Source organism: Homo sapiens, chromosome 22 (genome assembly GCF_000001405.40).
Source record: "Homo sapiens chromosome 22, GRCh38.p14 Primary Assembly".
Lineage (NCBI taxonomy): Eukaryota > Metazoa > Chordata > Mammalia > Primates > Hominidae > Homo > Homo sapiens.
In genome coordinates this window covers 41,448,906-41,470,281 of record NC_000022.11, presented here as the reverse complement: position 1 = coordinate 41,470,281, position 21,376 = coordinate 41,448,906, and the positions used below count along the sequence as shown (strand labels likewise).

At 47.6% G+C, this 21,376-nt stretch overlaps 2 protein-coding genes across 2 annotated transcripts in view, besides 4 other annotated features; one reads left to right on the top strand and one right to left on the bottom strand.

Annotated features, from left to right (window-relative positions):
• Positions 1-1,165, bottom strand: part of ACO2 (aconitase 2) — a 59,858-nt gene extending 58,693 nt beyond the window's left edge. Inside the window, exon 1 of the mRNA NM_001098.3 lies at positions 1,100-1,165. Within this exon, the coding sequence (NP_001089.1) occupies positions 1,100-1,135 (36 nt within the window). The 5' untranslated portion in view covers positions 1,136-1,165. The remainder of the gene's footprint in view (positions 1-1,099) is intronic.
• Positions 498-1,059: an enhancer, noted in NCBI's record as "H3K27ac hESC enhancer chr22:41865227-41865788 (GRCh37/hg19 assembly coordinates)". NCBI's record gives its function as "activates a minimal SCP1, AML or CMV promoter by ChIP-STARR-seq in naive H9 embryonic stem cells {active_cell/tissue: H9 hESC(naive)}" and the evidence as "EXISTENCE:reporter gene assay evidence [ECO:0000049][PMID:30033119]".
• Positions 1,060-1,621: an enhancer, noted in NCBI's record as "NANOG-H3K27ac-H3K4me1 hESC enhancer chr22:41864665-41865226 (GRCh37/hg19 assembly coordinates)". NCBI's record gives its function as "activates a minimal SCP1, AML or CMV promoter by ChIP-STARR-seq in primed H9 embryonic stem cells {active_cell/tissue: H9 hESC(primed)}" and the evidence as "EXISTENCE:reporter gene assay evidence [ECO:0000049][PMID:30033119]".
• Positions 1,060-1,860: a biological region, named in NCBI's record as "NANOG-H3K27ac-H3K4me1 hESC enhancer GRCh37_chr22:41864665-41865226".
• Positions 1,191-1,860: an enhancer, noted in NCBI's record as "active region_19116". NCBI's record gives its function as "activates an Ori minimal core promoter by ATAC-STARR-seq in GM12878 lymphoblastoid cells {active_cell/tissue: GM12878}" and the evidence as "EXISTENCE:reporter gene assay evidence [ECO:0000049][PMID:35858748]".
• Positions 1,590-10,565, top strand: PHF5A (PHD finger protein 5A). Its single transcript, NM_032758.4, has 4 exons — positions 1,590-1,680; positions 2,135-2,158; positions 2,668-2,834; positions 9,795-10,565. The coding sequence occupies exons 1-4, from the start codon at positions 1,629-1,631 to the stop codon at positions 9,882-9,884; spliced, it is 333 nt and encodes a 110-aa protein (NP_116147.1). The 5' UTR covers positions 1,590-1,628; the 3' UTR covers positions 9,885-10,565.
• The last annotated feature ends 10,811 nt before the right edge of the window (positions 10,566-21,376 follow it).

Below are 21,376 nucleotides of genomic sequence, written 5' to 3'. Positions count from 1 at the left end.
ATCCAAAAGGAATTCACAAAGTTAAATGTGAAAGGTTGACAGAGAATGTCTACAGATGCTTGCTTGATTTTTATTAACAAAGTACACATTTGACATTGAACCTCTGAGTATAACACCTTCCCAGGGCTGTCAAGTTAGAAGTGAAAAAATCATCTGGCAGTCAGTCAGCTTTCTAGATAGCTCCTAACAGGGGAGTCAAGGTCAAACTGGAGTCTCCTTATCCTCCCATATTTGACAAGCAACTTATTGTGAGGCTCAAAATATTCGTACTGCATTCTGACAAACAGAAATAATTGCACCGTGGTTCATAAAGTTCTGTGAGGGCAGGCTGACATAAACAAGAACTGAGTGGTGGTAGGGCCCATGCTTCTGCCACAGCACTTCGGTGACACTCTTGAGAATCAGAACTTTCACCTACTTTCTACCAGCTTTATCATCTATCAAATGAGAAAAACCACCTCATTCCTACGATTACAGGAATCAAATAATATTATGAAGAATTAAAACAGGCCTCAAATCTTGTGCAAAGGTGAGAGACTATTATTATATTATTTACTACGTATGGGCCCAGAAGACCGCCCCCCTCCCCGACATTCCACGTTCCGCAGGGTCCTCAAAAGGTGGTACAGGGTCCTAGTTTCTTCTCCAGACTCCAGGCCTGGCAACCGTAGATGCTGTCATGCCTCTGTTGCTAAGAGATGGGAAGTGAGGCCTCAGGAACTGGGCCTAGAAGACTCAACAACGACCGCGCCCCCTAGTCACCTTGTCCTCACCTTGAGGAATGGAAACACACCCCACGGGAGCAGGCAATGCTGTCCTCAAAAAGAAGAAAGAGGTGCCTCCGCTCTTCACCCGGCCGCCGCTGCTTGGGCCCACGCTTCTTGCGAGGCAGGGACAGGGCCAGGAAAGCTGACTGTGCCGGGGACGCCTTGACCTAGGGCACCAGAGAAGCGGGCACGGGTGCCGGGCCCACAACCGGGACAGGTACACGAGAAGTTGGCCCCAGGTTGGGCCCGCCTCGCCCTGCCTCGCCCACAGCCGCCGGCACAGTAGGAGGCACCCCGCCCCCGTGAACCCAGAGGTCCCTGAGCTCGCTCACCTGCAGCCGAGTCACCAGTAGGCTGTAGGGCGCCATTTTGTGCACTGACAAAGATGAGGTCGCATTAAAGTGACGTCCCACACGGCGCCTTTAAAGCCTTTGGGCAGGGGCGTGCCCGGAAGAGTGGGGCGTCACGGTGAAGGCGAGGCCTCCCTAGAGGCGCCAGAACCCTGTGAACGCAATGGGCGGAGCTCACGTGCAACGAACAGACACGCAAGAGGAAATCGGACTGCCCAAAGACACTTGCAGAAATAGATACCAAGCACAAAGATGTTTTACCCAAGAACAAATTTTAGTTATCTCCGCCATCCAAATCTGGGAGAGTTTTTAAGAGTTTCATGCACCTGCCAGGACCTGGCCGCCCAGCAGCGACAAAAACTCGCGCGAGAGCAAGACGGGCCTGGTGCAAGGATTGTAAACTGACGGAAGCTTAGAGAACCAATCACAGCGACGTGGAGGCAGGAACAATGGGGGTTAAAGGTCGGACGGAAGTTCCCGAAGCTTCCGGTGGCCGGCTTAGTTAGGAGCTATGGCTAAACATCATCCTGATTTGATCTTTTGCCGCAAGCAGGCTGGTGTTGGTGAGACTGCGCCCTACCCCTGGCTGTCTGGGCAGGGGTGGTATTAGGAGCTGGGGGGTCGGGGGTTCCCGTCTCTTCCTTAGGGGCTTGCCTCGCAGGCGCCACGTTTCCCGCCTCTCAGGCGCGGGGTGTTGTAGGAGCGCGCAGGTTTGTGGCCTCTGATGAGAAGAGGGCGGGGGTGCGCGTGCTGGGAGCCCCAGGCAGGTATCGGGGGGTGGGGTCTGAACCAGGTCCAGAGAAACTCTGAGCTTGCCCAGGGCGTTGGAGGAGATTCAGGAGGGTGCTTGGATGTAGGTTTGGTTCATATGGAAATTTGTAATGATAAAATGGCTATCCGCAGGTCTCACTCACTGCAGTCCTTACTCATGTCCCTACCCCCAGCTCGAGGATGTACTTCTCCTCTTTCTCAAAACCTTTATTCTAATTGTACTTTTTACCATCTTTCATCTTGCAGCCATCGGAAGACTGTGTGAAAAATGTGAGTGGAACACACCGTCCCAACAACCCACCCTTCCCACTCCCAGTTTTCTGTGGAACCAGCAAAAGTGCCACAAAGAGGGCTTTGAGTAGATGTGCCTGGAAGTATGTGAACACTGAATGCTGCACTTTAGCCAAAGGCCCCTCTAACTCCCCACTGCCGCTTGCACATTTAACGCTGTATCTCTCTAGTTTTCAACGGGAAGAATCGCCAGAGTAGCATGACCCCTCCCCAACACACAGCACTTTGCCAGCAATTATACAGGCTTATCATCTCCGAGGTGCTTTTCTAAGCTCTTCACATATGTTAATTGGTAAACTTTTGTATGTGTTGAGGGGCTTGAGATGGACACTGGGGAAACCAAGTTTTGTGATGCCAAGAGGAGGGCCCTAAAGTCACTGTCAAAAGGAGACTAGTGTATTTCCCAGGAGACTAGTATATTTCCCCATGGCAGGAGATAGCAGAGGACTGAAGAACTTGTGAGCATGACTCCATTCTCTTCCTTACAGGTGATGGCAAGTGTGTGATTTGTGACTCCTATGTGCGTCCCTGCACTCTGGTGCGCATATGTGATGAGTGTAACTATGGATCTTACCAGGGGCGCTGTGTGATCTGTGGAGGACCTGGGGTCTCTGATGCCTATTATTGTAAGGAGTGCACCATCCAGGAGAAGGACGTAAGTGTACAGCTTTCCATCTGACCTTTCCTCCTTTTGTTTAGTAACACTTTGCCATCCACTGCAATCTCCTATGGTCTATGGAGATTACTGTGTTCATCTAGTCATCTAGGTTATAATTTCTTCAAGTTCTGTGAGTCAAACTGGGTGTAGTCCAATAAAAGGCAGTTATTTTGCATCAAGGGGAAGAATGCAAGGGAAGCAAATCTTTGTCAAGACCAGCAATTTGGAGAGCCCTCTCATTCATGTCTCTGTGGTTATTCTTATTCAGAAATGACATCCGGCTGGGCGTGGTGGCCCACACCTGTAATCTCAGCACTTTGGGAGTCCAAGTTAGGAGGATCACTTTAGTCCAGGAGTTAAAGACCAGCCTGGGCCACAGAGCAAGATCCCATCTCAAAAAAAAAAAAAGTGTTTTGTTTTTTGTTTTTTGCTTCTTGTTTTTTGTTTTTTTGAGATGGGGTCTCTTGCTCTGTGGCCCAGGCTGGGGTGCAGTGGCATGATCATGTGCAAGGCTCACTGCAGCCTTGACCCCCTGGGCTCAAACGATCCTCCCATCTCATCCTCCCAAGTAGCTGGGACTACAGGCATGCGCCACCATACCTGGCTAAATTTTTTTTGTAGAGACAGGGTCTTGTTTTGTTACCTAGGTTGGTCTCGAACTCCTGGGCTCAAGTGATCCTCCTGCCTTAGCCTCACCAAGTGCTGGGATTACAGGCATGAACCATCACGCCTGGCCAAAAAAACATATTTTTCATTAGTCAGGTGTGCTGGTGTGTACCTGTGGTCGCAGCTACTTGGGAAACTGAGGCGGATGGATCACTTGGGACCAAGAGGTCAAGGCTGCAGTGAGCCATTTTCACGCCACTGCACTCCAGCCTGGGTGACAGAGACCCTGTCTGTTTATAAGTCCTGTACAGCCCATGTTGTGTCATAGCCACTTAAATCTATCATTAAGCACTATTTGGGTGTATATCGTGACAAAGTTGAATTTGGGACAATTCAAGTTGACTTCAGCTTTAAGCAGGTAACAGATGCCTTTGGTTTAATATTGCAGAAATGATTGTGGACCTGCATCGTGATTTTTTTTGTCCCTTGACACTGTGTAGTGGCAGTGGCTACTTTCTATTCAACTCTGAGCCAAATGCCAGGAGAGAGAGCTTATAGACTAGTGCTACAGGCAAGATTTACCCCATTTTTTTCGGTTAGTATTGGCAGCAGGGTTCTTTGTGGGAGAAAACTATGAATCAGCTTGTTTTCTTCAAAAAACAAAAGGAAGTATGATACAGTCTCACTAGGTTAATGATGGTACCTAGTTATCTAATTTAATTCTAATTCAGAATAAGGCAAAAGATGCGTAATTCTTCATATTCCCATGAGCGAAGAATAGGTCTTTTATAGATGTTATCACACCTTGTTCCTCACAATAAGTTTGTGAAATAGGGATTATTATTATGATGCCCATTTTGTAGTTCCTCTGACAAGCCCAGGCTGTTCAACTAAACCTTGTAGTGTCCTTATTTCACTATGTTGTCCTTTTATTTATTTATTTATTTATTTATTTTTTGAGATGGAGTTTCACTCTTGTTGTCCAGGCTGGAGTGCAGTGGCGCCATCTCGGCTCACCACAGCCTCCGCCTCCTGGGTTCAAGCGATTCTCCTGCCTCAGCCTCCCGAGTAGCTGGGACTACAGGTGCATGCCACTATGCCCAGCTAGTTTTTGTATTTTTAGTAGAGATGGGGTTTCACTATGCTGGCCAGGTTGGACTCAAACTCCTGACCTTGCGATCCACCCATCTGGGCCTCCCGAAGTGCTGGGATTACAGGCGTGAGCCATCACGCCTGGCCTTATGTTGTCCTTTTACAAGTGTTTCTGGGATGTGCCCATGGTGAAGGCAGTAACGCCAGTACCTCATTTCACGCACTTGGATCCTGCCTACCCCCAGTAAGTGGGAGAGATTGGGCCAGATAAGACCACACCATTGGGCCAGGCACAGTGGCTCATGCCTGCAATCCCAGCACTTTGGGAGGTTGAGGCAGGTGGATCACCTGAGGTCAGGAGTTTGAGAGCAGCCTGGCCAACATGGTGAAACCCCGTCTCTACTAAAAATACGTGGTGGCACACATCTGTAATCCCAGCTACTTGGGAGGCTGAGGCAGGAGAATCGCTTGAACCCAGGAGGCAGAGGTTGCAGTCAGCTGAGCCGAGATCACACCATTGCACTCCAATCTGGGCAACAAGAGCGAAATTCCTTCTCAAAAAAAAAAAGTGAGTACACCATTGAATCTTCTGTTGTTTAGGGAGATGAGAAAGGTCCTGAAGTACCAAAAACATAATGATTTGGACCTTTCTCTTGTCCTCAACTCTGATTTGCATTTACCTTCAACTATCAAGTCACATTCTGCTGTCCGAAAATCCAAATCTAGTCTACTAGCTAGATTACACTTCATTAGAGGCAGGACTTTGGTTTGTCTATTTGCCTCTCCTTTTCTTTAGGTCATGATACAGTGCCTGACATGCGGTGCAAGCATGGTACTTGTATTTTGGTGCTGTCCCTGTAAGTCATCCAGAGGTATCCCCTGTAGGGTGTCTAGCACATAGTAGGTGTTTGTTAATTACTTCTGGTCTATAAGCAGTGAAAGCATGATAAGGTAACAGCAGTGAAGAAAAGTAACAAACAGTTCCTAAACTAGATACAGGATATCTGTTTAAGCCATTTAAGACAGCATTTTCTTGAATTTTTGCATGGGTCTAGCTAGAGTTCTTATGTAGCGTAAGCTTGCAACCAGAGAATGCTTAATAAATGTTAATTGCTGTCTGACTCCTCTGAATGTGGTGTGTGAACTGATACCTTTGGATCCTCATGCCTCATTCTGTCCCTGAGACTTATTCTAGATGTCACTTCCCCTACTTCACATTATACACGAATGTTCTGAGGACATTTGAGATGGAATCTAGCTCACATTTTCAGCACTAGTTTCCAAGGAACACAAAGAAGTCCAGTGACATGATCCAGGCTCTCAGCCTTACAGATCATCATGTAGATTAAGTGGCCGAGGCTCTTTCCTATGCAGAAACCTTCCTACAACCAAGGTACCCCTTGTTATTATTGTCTTCCTGCAACTTTCATAATTGATAAGGGAATTAGACAGGTAAGCTAAGCTAGGTATTCTCATTTATAATTTTTCAAAGCCACAAGAATAACCAGGAGACAGGGATGATGTCTATGGACATTGCTACCAGAGGACTGATTTGTAGGTTCTTATGGTGCCACATCATGTAATCCCCTTAATCTTGATTCCTTTATTCCTTTTGTTTACCATTTTCCTCAGTTCGCCCAACCAGAAAATAAGAAAAATAGCACTAACATTTATGAAGCTCTTAATATATGCAAGGTACTTAGCTGAACATTGTTTTCCAAAAGTTCTGTGTGATACAGATGAGGATGCTAAGGCTTAGAGATGTTAAGCAACTTGGTTAGCCCAAGGTCACGTGGCTAATAAGTGACAGACCCAGGACTAGGGCCTAGGTGGTCTGACTCTTTTTTTTTTTGAGACGCAGTTTCTTTCTTGTCACTCAGACTGGAGTGCAATGGCACGATCTCGGCTCATTACAATCTCCGCCTCCCAGGTTCAAGCGATTCTCCTGCCTAAGCTTCCCAAGTAGCTGGGATTACAGGCACATGCCACCATGCCTGGCTTTTTTTTTTTTTTTTTTTTTTTGAGACAGAGTCTTACTGTGTCTCCCAGGATGGAGTGCAGTGGTGTGATCTTGGCTCACTGCAACCTATGCCTCCTGGGTTCAAGCAATTCTTCCGTCTCAGCCCCCTGAGTAGCTGGGATTACAGGCGTGCACCACCACGCCTGGCTAATTTTTTGTTTTTAGTAGAGACAGAGTTTCACCATGTTGGCTAGGCTGATCTTGAACTCCTGACCTTGTGATCCACCCACCTTGGCCTCCCAAAGTTGCTGGGATTACAGTCATGGACCACCGTGTCCAGCCTAATTTTTGTATCTTCAGTAGAAATGGGGTTTCACCATATTGGTCAGCCTGGTCTCAAGCTCCTGGCCTCAGGTGATCTGCCTGCCTCGGCTTTCCAAAGTGCTGGGATTACAGGCGTGAGCCACCACGCCCGTCGTGACTCAGTGTTTCTTAACCTTTTATTTTTTTTTTCTCATCATTGCACCCCTAAGGAGAAAGGTTAAAAGTTAATGTAAATTAATTAAATTTTGGGGCTGGGCAGGAGCCTACCATCTTAAAGCTAAGCTGTAAGTAGGCCAGGGGCAGTGGCTCACGCCTGTAATCCCAGCGCTTTGGGAGGCCCAGGTAGGCGAATCATGAGGTCAGGAGTTCGAGACCAGACTGACCAACATGGTGAAACCCCATCTCTACTAAAAATACGAAAACCAGCTGGGTGCGGTGGTGGGTGCCTGTAATCCCAGCTACTCAGGAGTCTGAGGCAGGAGAATTGCTTGAACCCAGGAGGCAGAGGTTGCAGTGAGCCCAGATAGCGCCACTGCACTCCAGCCTGAGCGACAGATGAGACTTCACCTCAGAAAAAAAAAAAAAAAGCTAACCCGTAAGTAAAGAACAGAGCTGTGCAGATTGGAGGATTGGGTCATACCATTACTTGGTACCTTCCAGGAATATTTGGGTATCTATAAGGATAGTTTGTAAACCTTGACCTGATCCAGTCTTCTTCTTTTGCAGCTGAGGAGTAATATAAGTCCCAAGAGAAGCAACTTGCCCACATTTGCACAAGTCAGTAAGGCACAGTTTAAGCTATCATCATATCATGAGTTTCATAGCCTCTCTAAAGAGTTGAGAGTCCTGTTATTATGTCTAATATCAGGCCTTTGTCCAGGAGAGGCAGCTAGTGCCTCATTTTTACGAGGACATGAAATATAGATTACGTTGCTTACTTGGGTTCACCTAGCAAGCTATTGGTAGGCGGCTTCCTTGGTACACCAGGCTTCAGAGATGGAAGTGCTCAATGTAATGACTCGATACTTCTTTTCTAGGAGATCCTAAAATGTTAGTGTTAGTTGCAGAGATTTTTGTAGTTGTTGATGTCTGCCCCCAAAGAAGGATATTAGTTGAGTTAGAAATGAGATGGCTAAGGACTTGATTAATTCATACTATCACCTAATATCACAGGACTCAAACTCTGACATGGGTGTTTAATAAAATCAACAGACCTGTAAGGGTTTTCCAGTTACAGCTTCCCCGGTTTTTCTCCCATCATCCCTAATCAACTGATGGAGTCATCATTTCTATATAACACAGCTTCCCAGGGGCTTCACTGAAAGCACTCAAGCTCATCAAATGGCCAGGGCAGCCTGTCATGACAAATTAGTGCATGGTCTGTCAACAGCCATCTATCTCTAGCCAGTAGTGCTCTGTACCCCCAAGACCATGTGTCAAATTAAGTGAATTAATGAAGACACATAAAACCCATTAGTCTCCTATGGTATTTAAAATGTAAGGGCCAGGCACGGTGGCTCACGCCTGAAATCCCATCACTTTAGGAGGCCGAGGTGAGTGGATCAGGAGGTCAAGAGATCAAGACCATCCTGGCCAACATGGTGAAACCCCATCTTTACTAAAAATACAAAAATTAGCTGGGCATGGTCGCGGGTGCATGTACTCCCCACTACTCGGGAGGCTGAGGCAGGAGAATTGCTTGAACCCGGAAGGCGGAGGTTGCAGTGAGCCGAGATCATGTCACTGCTCTCCAGCTTGGCAACAGAGCAAGACTCCGTCTCAAAAAAAAATAAAATATAAGGTATGGCCGAGCACTGTGACTCACGCCTGTAATCCTAGCACTTTGGGAGGCTGAGGCAGGCGGGTTGCCTGAGCTCAGGAGTTTGAGACCAGCCTGAGCAGCATGGTGAAACCCTGTCTCTACTAAAATACAAAAGAAATTAGCCGGGCATGGCGGCGTGTACCTGTAGTCCCAGCTACTCGGGTGGCGGAGGTTGCAGTGAGCCGAGATCGCGCCACTGCACTCCAGCCTGGCGACAGAGCGAGATTCCTTCTCAAAAAAAAAAAAAGAGTTTCATAGTCTACCTCAACTGTGTCATAGCAGCAGACATGGCTGAGAATCCAGCATTCTACATGAATTGCAAGTCATTGGATAGAGGGTAGGCAGGCCCTGAGCACATTCTTAGGTGTTTAGTAAATTATTGATGATAGATCAAATAGGATAATTGGTAAGATAAATGGCTAAACCATTAATCCAAAGGTTATAAAATGGTCTTTTTTTCTTTTTTTGAGATGGAGTTTCTCTCTTGTTACCCAGGCTGGAGTGCTGTGGCGTGATCTCAGCTCACTGCTACCTCCGCCTCCTGGGTTCAAACGATTCTCCTGCCTCAGCCTCCTGAGTAGCTGGGACTACAGGCACGCACCACCACGTCTGGCTAATTTTTGTATTTTTAGTAGAGACGGGGTTTTACCATGTTGGCCAGGCTGGTCTCGAACTTCTGACCTCAGGTGATCCACCTGCCTCGGCCTCCCAAAGTGCTGGGATTACAGGCATGAGCCACCGTGCCCGGCCTATAAATGATCTTTCATAAGTGCTAAGAGATAGGGAAGAAACAGTGCTGATCTGGGCCTCCCAATTAAGGAGATAACTGGTGTTTGGACACATTTACAAACCCATTTATTGAGTTCTTCAAATACTAAGATGAGAATTTGAACTCTGTGACCAATTTTTTTTTTTTCAAGAGATGGGGGTCTCGCTATGTTGCCTACAGTGGGGTACAGTAGCTGGCTATTCACAGGCATCATCATAGCCCACTAGTCTCGAACTCCTGGGCTTCAGCAATCCTCCTGCCTCGGCCTTCGAGTAGTAGCTGGGACTAAAGGCACATGCTACCACACTGGGCTTAAATTTTTTATCTTAAGTCACTCTTGGTTCAGGCTCAAAGACTTAACAACTTCTCTGTTCTGTTTTCCAGAGAGATGGCTGCCCAAAGATTGTCAATCTGGGGAGCTCTAAGACAGACCTCTTCTATGAACGCAAAAAATACGGCTTCAAGAAGAGGTGATTGGTGGGTGGCCCCTTCCTCCCCCCAACATCAGTCTGCTGCAGCTGCCAGAAAACATGCCTACTACTACCAGCAGAAAGGGAGCAGAGCCCAGAGCATCACCAGGAGTGCCTGCTAGTGTACTGGCAGCTTGCCACCCCCTCCTCTCCCTTCACCCAGACACGTGGTAGGGATGGAAAAGGATTCTTCACAGAGCACTCTGGCACACCATATCGGAGAAAACTTGATAGATTAGTTAATGGTTTTTCTTGAATTCGAGAAGCAAAGATCTGTTCTCCATATTGGTATGTTCTCCCTCAACCAAGATCTTCTAAAAAGAAATAATATTTTAGTCTTCTGCTTGAGGAACTGACTGTGAAGCGACGCCCAGTGAAAAACATGTTCTTGCAGCAGCTCTGGTGGCAGCTGTCCTTGAGGAACCTTTGGTGTGTGGTGGGAAGCTATCAGAACAAGAAATGTAGGCATTTCCCGTTTTTTTTGGGGGGGGGGTGGGGGGGCAGGGCTCTGCCCTCTTGAAAGGCATTTACTTGTTTAACACTTGTCCAGCTACAGTGGGGTACAGTAGCTGGCTATTCACAGGCATCATCATAGCCCACTAGTCTCATATTATTTTCCTTTTGAGAAATTGGAAACTCTTTCTGTTGCTATTATATTAATAAAGTTGGTGTTTATTTTCTGGTAGTCACCTTCCCCATTTAACTTTAACTCTAGGAATTTATTTTAGTCACCCAGGAATTTGTGATTCAAAACAGAGGTAGTGGGATTGGTTAAGTACTTTGTCCTCTTATTACCACTGGAAGGAATTCAAAACCACCCATACCTTTCATTATAGATAGATCAAAGTCATCTTTAGAAACGTACTATTTTTTCCTTCCTGTCCAACTTTAATTTTGAACTGAAGAGATAGCTTCCAGTTATGGTGGAGGCTGGGCACAGTAGCCCATGCCTGTAATCCCAGCACTTTGGGAGGCTCAGGCAGGCGGATCTTGAGCCCAGGAGTTCAAGACCGGCCTGGGCAACATGGCAAAAACCCATCTCTATGAAAAATATGAAAACTAGTCAGGTATAGTGGCATGCACCTGTAGTTTAGTCCCAGCTACTCAGAAGGCTGAGATGGGAGGATCCCTTGAGCCTTGGAGATTGAGGCTGCAGTGAACAGTGATCCCGCCACTGCACACCAGCCTGGGTGACAGAGCAAGACTGCCTCAAAAAAAAAAAAAAAAGATGGGCTGGGCGCGGTGGCTCACACCTGTAATCCTAGCACTTTGGGAGGCCAAGGCAGGCGGATCACTTGAGCCCAGGAGTTCGAGATCAGGCTGGCCAACATGGCAAAACTCCGTCACTGCTAAAAATACAAAAATTAACCAGGCATGGTGGCACTGTGCGCCTGTAGTCCCAGCTACTCGGGACGCTGAGACAGGAGAATTGCTTGAACCTAGGAGGCAGAGGTTGCAGTGAGCCGAGATCGTGCCATTGCACTCCAGCCTGGGCAGCAAGAGTGAAACTCCATCTCACACACACACAAAAAAAGGTTCCAGTATAACCCAGAGGATGCACAAAGGAAGGGTTCTAGGCCTAGCTTGGAGGTACCACAGGAAGGCAGGGGAAGGCCATGGCCATAGGACTACAGCACTTTCCGGGCGCTTTTGGCCACCCCTTTCTCTGCACTGCAGCCATAGGCTCCTTTTCAGTTCCACAACTGCTGCTTTCCTTTTGGCTTCTGCTTTGGGTTTATTTTTAACATGTTGATCCCTCTAGAATGCTTGTGCCCCCCTCCCTTTTACTCAGCTAACCCCTACTCCCTTCTGACCTTAGCCAAATATTTCCTCAAAGATGCCTCTCCGGACCCTTAATCTAAGTTCCCCTTGTACTCCCACTTAGCATCCTATGTGGTTTTTTGGTTTGGTTGGTTGGTTTTGAGACGGCATCTCTGTCACCCAGGCTGGAGTGCAGTGGCACGATCTCAGCTCACTGCAACCTCTACTTCCCAGACTCAGCAATCCTCCCACCTCAGGCTCTGGAATAGCTGGGACTACAGGCATGCACCACCCTGCCCAGCTAGTTTTTTGTTTTTGTTTTCGAGATGGAATTTTGCACTGTTGCCCTGGCTGGAGTGCAGTGGCGCAATCTCCGCTCACTGCAACCTCCACCTCCCAGATTCAAGTGATTCTCCTGCCTCAGCCTCCCTAGTAGCTGGGATTACAGATGCACGCCACCACACCCAGCTAATTTTTTGTATTTTTAGTAGAGATGGGGTTTCACTGTGTTGGCCAGGCTGGTCTTGAACTGACCTCGTGATCCGCCCACCTTGGCCTCCCAAAGTACTGGGATTACAGGCGTGAGCCACCAAGCCTGGCCTGTTTTTTGTATTTTTTATAGAGACAAGGTCTCGCTGTGTTGCCCAGACTGGTCTCAAGCTCCTGGATTCAAGTTACCCTCCTGCCTCAGCCTCCCAAAGTGCTGTGAATACAGGTGTGAGCCACCACACCCAACCCTATGTGTTTTCTTAAAGCATTTGGTGATTAGTGAAAGTAACCTACGACCGTGTCTACAAGAGCAGGAAGCAAGTTTGTTTTGCCCAGTAGGTAGCAGGTAGGTGTTCAGTATTGAATGAATGCTTGAAGTCAAGGAAACTGGATAATAAACTGGACTTTGATATGTCAGAACCTACAGGCAAAGGGTGCAGTAGGCAAATAAGGGCATTTGTTGGGGGGGGCATCAACTTGAGCAAAGACAGTCGTGAACAGGGTGATATGTATTGATTCGGATATGGTCTCACTTTGTCCCCCAACCTGGAGTGCAGTGTCATGAACACGGCTCATTGCAGCCTCGACCCCCTGGGCTCAAACAATCCTCCCAACTCAGCCTCCTGAGTAGCTGGGAGGTGTGAACCAGCATGCCCAGCTTTTTTTTTTTTTTTTTTTTTTTTTTTTTTTTTTTTTTTGTAGAGACAGGGTTTCACCATATTGGCCAGACTGGTCTTGAACTCCTGAGGTCAAGCGATCTGCCTGCCTTGGCTTCCAAAGTTAGGATAATAGGCATGAGCCACCACCCCCAGCCTAGGGCGATGTGTGTAGGGAGCTCTGAGCAATTCTAATGCATCAGTGAGGTGATTGCTATGGTTTGAATGTTTGTCCCCTCTAAAACTCATGTTGAAACTTGATTCCCAATGTGGCAGTATTCAGAAGTGGGACCTTCAAGAAATGATTGGGTCATGAAGGCTCTGCCCGCATGAGGGGATTCATCCTTTCACTTTTTTTTTTTTTTTTTTTTTTTTGAGCCGGCGTCTCTGTCACCCATGCTGGAGTGCAGTGGCATGATCTCAGCTCACTGCAACCTCCACCTCCCAGGTTCAAGCAATTCCCCTGCCTCAGCCTCTTGAGTAGCTGGAACTACAGGCACGTGCCACCATGCCCAGCTAATTTTTGTGTTCACCACCATGCCTGGTTAATTTTTGTAATTTTATTAGTGACAGGGTTTCACCATATTAGCCAGGCTGGTCTTGAACTCCTGACCTCAAACGATCCACTCACTTCGGCCTCCCAAAGAGCTGGGATTGCAGGCATGAGCCAACGCACCCAGCCCATCCTTTCACTGTTAATGGATTAATGGGTTATCATATAAATGGGACCGATAGCCCAAAAATAGCTGTTTGGTGGTGGTGGTGGTTGTTTTTGAGACAGACTCTCACTCCATCGCCCAGGCTGGAGTGCAGTGGCGCGAACTCAGCTCACTGCAAGCTCCACCTCCCGGGTTCACGCCATTCTCCTGCCTCAGCCTCCTGAGTAGCTGGGACTACAGGCGCTCGCCATCACGCCCGGCTAAATTTTTGTGTATTTTTTTAGTAGAGATGGGGTTGCACCGTGTTAGCCAGGATGGTCTCAATCTCCTGACCTCATGATCCACCCGCCTCGGCCTCCCAAAGTGCTGGGATTACAGGCGTGAGCCCCCGCGCCCGGCCGGGACCGATAGCTTTGTAAGAGGAGAGACTGAGCCAGCACTCTCAGCCCCTTTGCCATGTGATGCCCTGTGCCACCTCCCAGCAAGAATGCTCTCACTAAATGTACCCCCTCAACCTGGGACTTCCCAGCCTCCAGAATTATAAGAAATAAATTTCTCTTTTTATAAATAACATAGTTTTAGGTATTACAAGCAAAAGAAAACTGACTAAGGTGTGGTAGCTCAAAAGAGGTAGAGAGACCAGATCATTTTCAGACTGTAATTAGAATGTGCAAAAAAGCAAAAAAGCCCTAGTTAAGAATAAAAAATAGTCCGGGCTCATGCTTGTAATCCCAGCACTTTAGGAGGCCGAGGCAGACAGATCACCTGAGGTCGGGAGTTGAAGACGAGCCTGACCAACATGGAGAAACCCTGTCTCTACTAAAAATACAAAAATTAGCCGGGCATGGTGGCGCATGCCTGTTAATTCCAGTACTTTGGGAGGCCAGGAGTTTATGACTAGCCTTGGCAACATAGTGAGGCCCCTGTCCCTACAAAAAAAAAAAAATTTTTTTTTTTGAGATGGAGTCTCACTCTGTCACCCAGGCTGGAGTGCAATGGCATGGTCTCAGCTCACTGCAACCCCTGCCTCCCGGGTTCAAGTGGTTCTCCCACCTCAGCCTCGCGAGTAGCTGGGACTACAGGCATGTGCCACCACACCCGGCTAATTTTTGTTGTTTTTTTTTTGAGACGAAGTCTTGCTCTTGTCGCCCAGTCTGGAGTACAATGGCGCAATCTTGGCTCACTGCAACCTCTGCCTCCCGGGTTCAAGCGATTCTCCTTCCTCAGCCTCCCGAGTAGCTGGGATTACAGGCGCCTGCCACCACACCCAGCTAACTTTTGTATTTTTAGTAGAGACCGGGTTTCACCATGTTGGTCAGGCTGGTCTCGAAGTCCTGACCTCAGGCAATCCACCCGCCTCAGCCTCCCAAAGTGCTGGGATTACAGGCGTGAGCCACTGTCCCCAGCCTAATTTTTGTATTTTTAGTAGAGACAGGGTTTCACTATGTTGGCCAGGCTGACCTCGTGATCCGCCTGCCTCAGCCTCCCAAAGTGCTGGGATTACAAGCGTGAGCCACCGCGCCCGGCCTAAAAAAATTTTTTTTTAATTAGCCAGGTGTGGTGGCACGTGCATATAGCCCTAGCTACTTGGGAAGCTGAGGTGGATCACTTGAGTCCAGGAGATCGAGGTTACGGTGAGCTACAATGGCACCACTACACTCTAGCCTGAGTGACAAAATGAAACCCTGTCTCTTAAAAAATGAAACCTTGTCTATAACAACAACAACAAAAAAAAATTAACAAAAATTTTTGGCCAGGCGCTGTGGCTCACGCCTGTAATCCCAGCACTTTGGGAGGCCGAGGTTGGTGGATCACCTGAGGTCAGGAGACATTCCAGACCAGCCTGACCAACATGGTGAAACCCCATTTCTATTAAAAATACAAAAATTAGCCAGGTGTAGTGGCGAATGAATGCCTGTAATCCCAGCCACTCCGGAGGCTGAGGCAGGCGAATCACTTGAACCCAACCGAGAGGCTGAGGTTGTGGTGAGCCAAGATCGTGCCACTGCACTCCAGCCTGGGCAACAGAGCAAGACTCCGTCTCAAAATAAATAAATAAATAAAAATTAGCCATGTGTGGTGGTGAAAGCCTGTAATCCCAGCTATTCCGGAGGCTGAGGCAGGAGGATCACTTGAACACGGGAGGCAGAGGTTGCAGTGAGCAGAGATCATGCCACTACACTCCAGCCTAGGCAACAAGAGCGACTCCGTAAAAAAAAAAATTTAAGTTACTTATTAACTGCTTTGGTCCACATGACATCTTGTAACTACAGATGTTTCAAAAACTATTCCTTAGTTTCATCAAAACATCACCTTAACTGCACTCCATCAGCCTCTGTATGTATAAGATTAATGCCCTGTAGCATCTCAAATCAGCAGTTCAACCTCAGTCAAGTGAATTCCACTGAAACCTGCTCCTCTGTCAATTTCATAATCCCATTCTTGGCTTTTTTTTTTTTTTTTTTTTTTTGGAGATGAAGTCTTGCTCCGTCACCCAGGCTGGACTGCAGTGGTGCAATCTCAGCTCACTGCAATTTCTGCCTCCCAGATTCAACCGATTTTCCTGTTTTGGCCTCCCGAGTAGCTGGGACTACAGGCATGGGCCACCACGCCCGGCCAATTTTTCATATTTTAGTGGAGACAGGGTTTCACCATGTTGCCCAGGCTGGTCTCAAACTCCTGAGCCATGGCCTCCCAAAGTGCTAGGATCACAGGCTTTTTTGTTTTTGTTTTTTTTTGAGACGGAGTTTTGCTCTGTCACCCAGGCTAGAGTGCAGTAACAGGATCCGGGCTCACTGCAACCTCCACGTCCTGAATTCAAGCGATTCACCTGCCTCAGCCTCCCAAGTAGCTGGAATTACAGGCGCGTGCCACCATGCCCAGCCAATTTTTGTGTTTTTAGTAGAGACAGCAGTCAGCCTCCCAAAGTGCTGGGATTGCAGGCGTGAGCCACCTCGCCCAGCTTTTTTTTTTTTTTTTTTACAGAATCTTGCTCTGTCACCCAGGCTGGAATGCAGTGGCTCAATCTCGGCTCACTGCAACCTCCATCTCCTGAGTTGAAGCAATTCTCCTGCCTCAGCCTCCCGAGTAGCTGGAATTACAGGCATGTGCCACCACGCCCAGCTAATTTTTGTATTTTTAGTGGAGATGGGGTTTCCCCATGTTGGCAAGGCTGGTCTCAAACCCCTGACCTCAGGTGATCCCCCGGCCTTGGCCTCCCAAAGTGCTGGGATTACAGGCATGAGCCACCACGCCCGGCCTCCTTACTTGACTTCTATCTGTGCTCCTCACTCCATCAGGCAGTTGAAGGGACATCCCTTGAATACTCGCTGCCTTTTCCATGGCTGTCTGTTTCCTTTGTTTGAAATACCCTTCTACCTTCCTATCTACTGGCCAAATGGATACCTCTTCCTTTCAAGCCCCTGACATCTCATGAAAGCTTCCAGAAGCACCATACCCCACAACAATTTCTATCATTTGCATTATTTTCATGTCTAGTACCTACATACAACCGAAACAAAAGTTTCATGAAACAATATTACTGTGCATGCTATAATCTGATATTTTCATTTTCTTCTTTTTTTTTTTGAGACAGAGTCTCACTCTGTCACCCAGGCTGGAGTGCAGTGGTGTGATCTCAGCTTACTGCAAACTCCACTTCCCGGGTTCAAGCGATTCTCCTGCCTCAGCCTCCTGTGTAGCTGGGACTACAGGCGCCCGCCACCATGCTCGGCTAATTTTTGTATGTTTAGTAGAGACAGGGTTTTACCATATTGGCCAGGCTGGTCTCGAACTCCTGACCTTATGATCCGCCTGCCTCGGCTTCCCAAAGTGCTGAAATTATAGGCATGAGCCACTATGCCTGGCCTGATATTTTCATTTTCTTTCATTCTATTCTAAAATTCCTGACTGAAATCCATTCAACTGGATTTTGTTTCTTTGTTTTTTGAGATGGAGTTTCGTTCTTTTGCCCAGGCTGGAGTGCAGTGCCGTGATCTTGGCTCACTGGAACCTTTGCCTTCAGGTTTCAAGCGATTCTCCTGCTTCAGCCTCCTGAGTAGCTGGAATTACAGGTGCCTGCCACCACGCCCTGCTAATTTTTGTATTTTTAGTAGAGATGGTGTTTCACCACGTTGGCCAGGCTGGTCTCCAACTCCTGACCTCGTGATCTGCCCGCCTTGGCCTCTCAAACTGCTGAGATTACAGGCATGAGCCACGGTGCCCGGCCTAAACTGGGTAATTTTATGACCCCCACTAATGGACGACAACCTCAAGTTTTAAAACAATTAACTAGAAGAGGGGCTGCTTGGGGATGGAGTTGGCGGGACAGGGGATAAAAATAAAATCAACTAGGCCAGGCACAGTGGCTTACACCTGTAATCCTAGCAATTTGGGAGGTTGGAGGATTGCTTGAGGCCAAGAGTTCAAGACCAACCTGGCCAACAAACCTAGCAAGACCCTGTGTCTATTAAAAAACAACAACACTCACAACTAACTAGATCATAAATAAGATCCTTGAGTTCCCTTTGCCTCTCCTTCCACGCAGGGCATACAATAGGCAACCACTCCAACAATTATTTGCTAAATTAAACTGAAAAAGGGGTCACAAACTCAGGAGTCTGGGTGAGTAATATCATTGATTGAAAAGGGAGGGGTAAAAGAAGAATAGCCCAAGTGTGATGATAAATGGTATGTGACCCTCAGCCTCGTTGTGTGGGACACAATAGGGGAGTAGTGGGGACCTTAGGCAACCAGAGAACACAAGCCCTGTCTAAAGGAGACAGCTGCTATTCAACTCCAGACAATTCCTGCCAGTTTGAATGCCCAGTGTTGCCAGATATTTTGAATTTAGGACAAGTGGCAACTTAGGATATTTTTGTACAATATCCCAAATTTTCAACATTGGCAACTCACTTTTAAAACTGTAATATGTCAGTATATGCCAAGAAAATAAATCTGCCAGATGTGGACCTTGGCCTGCCAATTAGCAGCTTCTAAATTAAAATTAACTTCCCAGGGAATGAAACTGAACTGACTAAATTTCAGAGAGACTATGTGTCACTCTATTCTGACCTGTAGTTTTTTTTGTGTGTTTTTTTTTTTTTTTTTTTTTTTTTGAGATGGAGTCTTGCTCTGTCACCAGGCTGGAGTGCAGTGGCACAATCTCCGCTCACTGCAACCTCCACCTCCCGGGTTCAAGCAATTCCCCTGCCTCAGCCTCCCTAGTAGCTGGGACTACAGGCGCGTGCCACCATGCCCGGCTAATTGTTTGTATTTTAGTAGAGACAGGGTTTCTTTTTCTTTTTTTTTTTTTTTTGAGACAAGAGTCCCACTCTGTCGCCCAGGCTGGAGTGCAATGGCGCAGTCTCAGCTCACTGCAACCTCCGACTCCTGGGTTCAAGTAATTATCTTCCCTCAGCCTCCTGAGTAGCTGGGATTACAGGCAACCACCACCAAGCCCGGCTAGTTTTTTTTTTTATTTTATTTTTTTTATTTTTAATAGAGACAGTGTTTCACCATTTTGGCCAGGCTGGTCTCAAACTCCTGACTTCAGGTGATCCGCCCGCCTTGGCCTCCCAAAGTGCTGGGATTACAGGTGTGAGCCACCACGCCCAGCCCTGACCTGTAGCATTTTTTTTTGTTTTGTGGGGTTTTTTTAAAATATTTTTTTTGAGATGGAGTTTCACTCTTGTTGCTCAGGCTGGAGTGCAATGGTGCAATCTCGGCTCACTGCAACCTCTGCCTCCCAGGTTCAAGCAATTCTCCTGCCTCAGCCTCCCTAGTAGCTGGGATTACAAGCATGTGCCACCACGCCCGGCTAATTTTGTATTTTTAGTAGAGATGGGCTTTCTCCATGTTGGTCAGGCTGGTCTCAAACTCCCGACCTCAGGTGATCTGCCCGCCTTGGCCTCCCAAAGTACTGGGATTACAGGCGTGAGCCACCGTGCCCAGCCAGACCTGGAGCTTTTTTATTGTAGTTTGAAGCAAGGACATAGAAGGAAAAGATTCTTTGCCTTGCTTGGAATTTTCCTGTCTTAAAAGACTCTGATTATTTCCATCTGTTCCCAGTCACTCAATTCCTTATCAGCTCTGTCCCGAGTGGCCTGTTGACACCACCAAAGCTAAAATGTTACTTTCTTTGAACACTGCATTTTAGCATCTTAGCAAGACAGGTTTGTTTACTTACCTTGTTTACTAGACTTCACAGTATTGGTGAATATATAAAAAATCATTTGTCGGCTGGGCATGGTGGCTTATGCCTGTAATCCCAGCACTTCGGGAGGCCAAGGCAGGTGGATCACGAGGTCAGGAGATGGAGACCAGCCTGGCTAACACGGTAAAACCCTGTCTCTACTAAAAATACAAAAAAATTAGCCGGGCGCGGTGGCTCACGCCTGTAATCCCAGCACTTTGGGAGGCCGAGACGGGCGGATCACGAGGTCAGGAGATCGAGACCATCCTGGCTAACACGGTGAAACCCCGTCTCTACTAAAAATACAAAAATTAGCAGGGCGTGGTGGCGGGCGCCTGTAGTCCCAGCTACCCGGGAGACTGAGGCAGGAGAATGGCGTGAACCCCGGGAGACGGAGCTTGCAGTGAGCTGAGATCGTGCCACTGCACTCCAGCCTGGGCAACAGAGCGAGACTCCGTCTCAAAAAAAAAAAATTAGCCGGGCGTGGTAGCGGGCGCCTGTAGTCCCAGCTACTCCGGAGGCTGAGGCAGGAGAATGGTGTGAATCCGGGAGGCGGAGCTGGCAGTGAGCCGACATCGCACCACTGCACTCCAGCCTGGGCGACAGAGCGAGACTCCGTCTCAAAACACACACACACACACACACACACACACAAATTAGCCGGGTGTGGTGGTACATACCTCTAATCCCAGCTACTCGGGAGGCTGAGGCAGGGCAATCACTTGAAACCAGGATGTGGAGGTTGCAGTGAGCCGAGATCATGCCACTGCACTCCAGCCTGGGCAACAGAGCAAGACTCCGTCTCAAAATAAATAATAAATAAAAATTTTTTAAAAATAATTTTTCTTAAGTAGGCAACCACGCTTCCCCAAAGCCAGTTTCTTCCTTTGCACCTGCTGAAGAGATCAAATTGAGGAAGTATTTTCTTGGATAACTTCAAAGAAACAATACAAAATTTCTTGCCCTGGAGTGTGTATGAAAGGGTGACGCATCTATGCGAGTTAACTGGGGCCAATTATGACCAGCCTGACTTGTCATGGCGTCACATCTTGCTTACTCTCAGACAGGTGATGTGCCCCCACCTTCTCCCTGCCTCACTTGCTTGCTCATGGAGCTCACTATTTTGCAAGCACGGTGCATGCCGTTCAACATATGATTATTCAAAATGGGAGGGGAATCTGGAATGCCTGAGTAGGCATTCAGCTCACAATTAAGCCCTGGCAAGATGTAATCACACACTGGGAAGGAAAAAAAAACTTCATCACCACATGATAAATGGAGACATCAGCAGTTGAGAAGGGCGGTTACGTTTTTTCCCCTCGATTTTATCTTTTCCTACTTATATGCTAACCTTTTACCCAGAGCTCCCACCAAGGAGGCTGGATTTCTCATTTCATTCTAATGATGCTACTCAGGGCTGATGTCTTTCCAGCGTTGCAGAAGAGATTCTATTAAACGCACAAACATGCAGAAACTCATGGCCTTCCTTCCAAGGATTCAGTCCGCCCTCCCTCAACCTGTCCGGAATGGTAGAAGACGTCTACCCTCTAACTGCTTATATGTACTCCAGCTGTTCCTCCTAAGATGCCGTAGGACAACTCGCTTCAGCTCACCTTCACCTTTACCATTGTCAGAAGTTTCACATTGGAGAGTGGACACCATACTCAGCCCAGGATATGCAGGATGTGCAGAGGCAATTTGGCCCAAACACTAATCTTTAAATTAAGAATAGCAACGA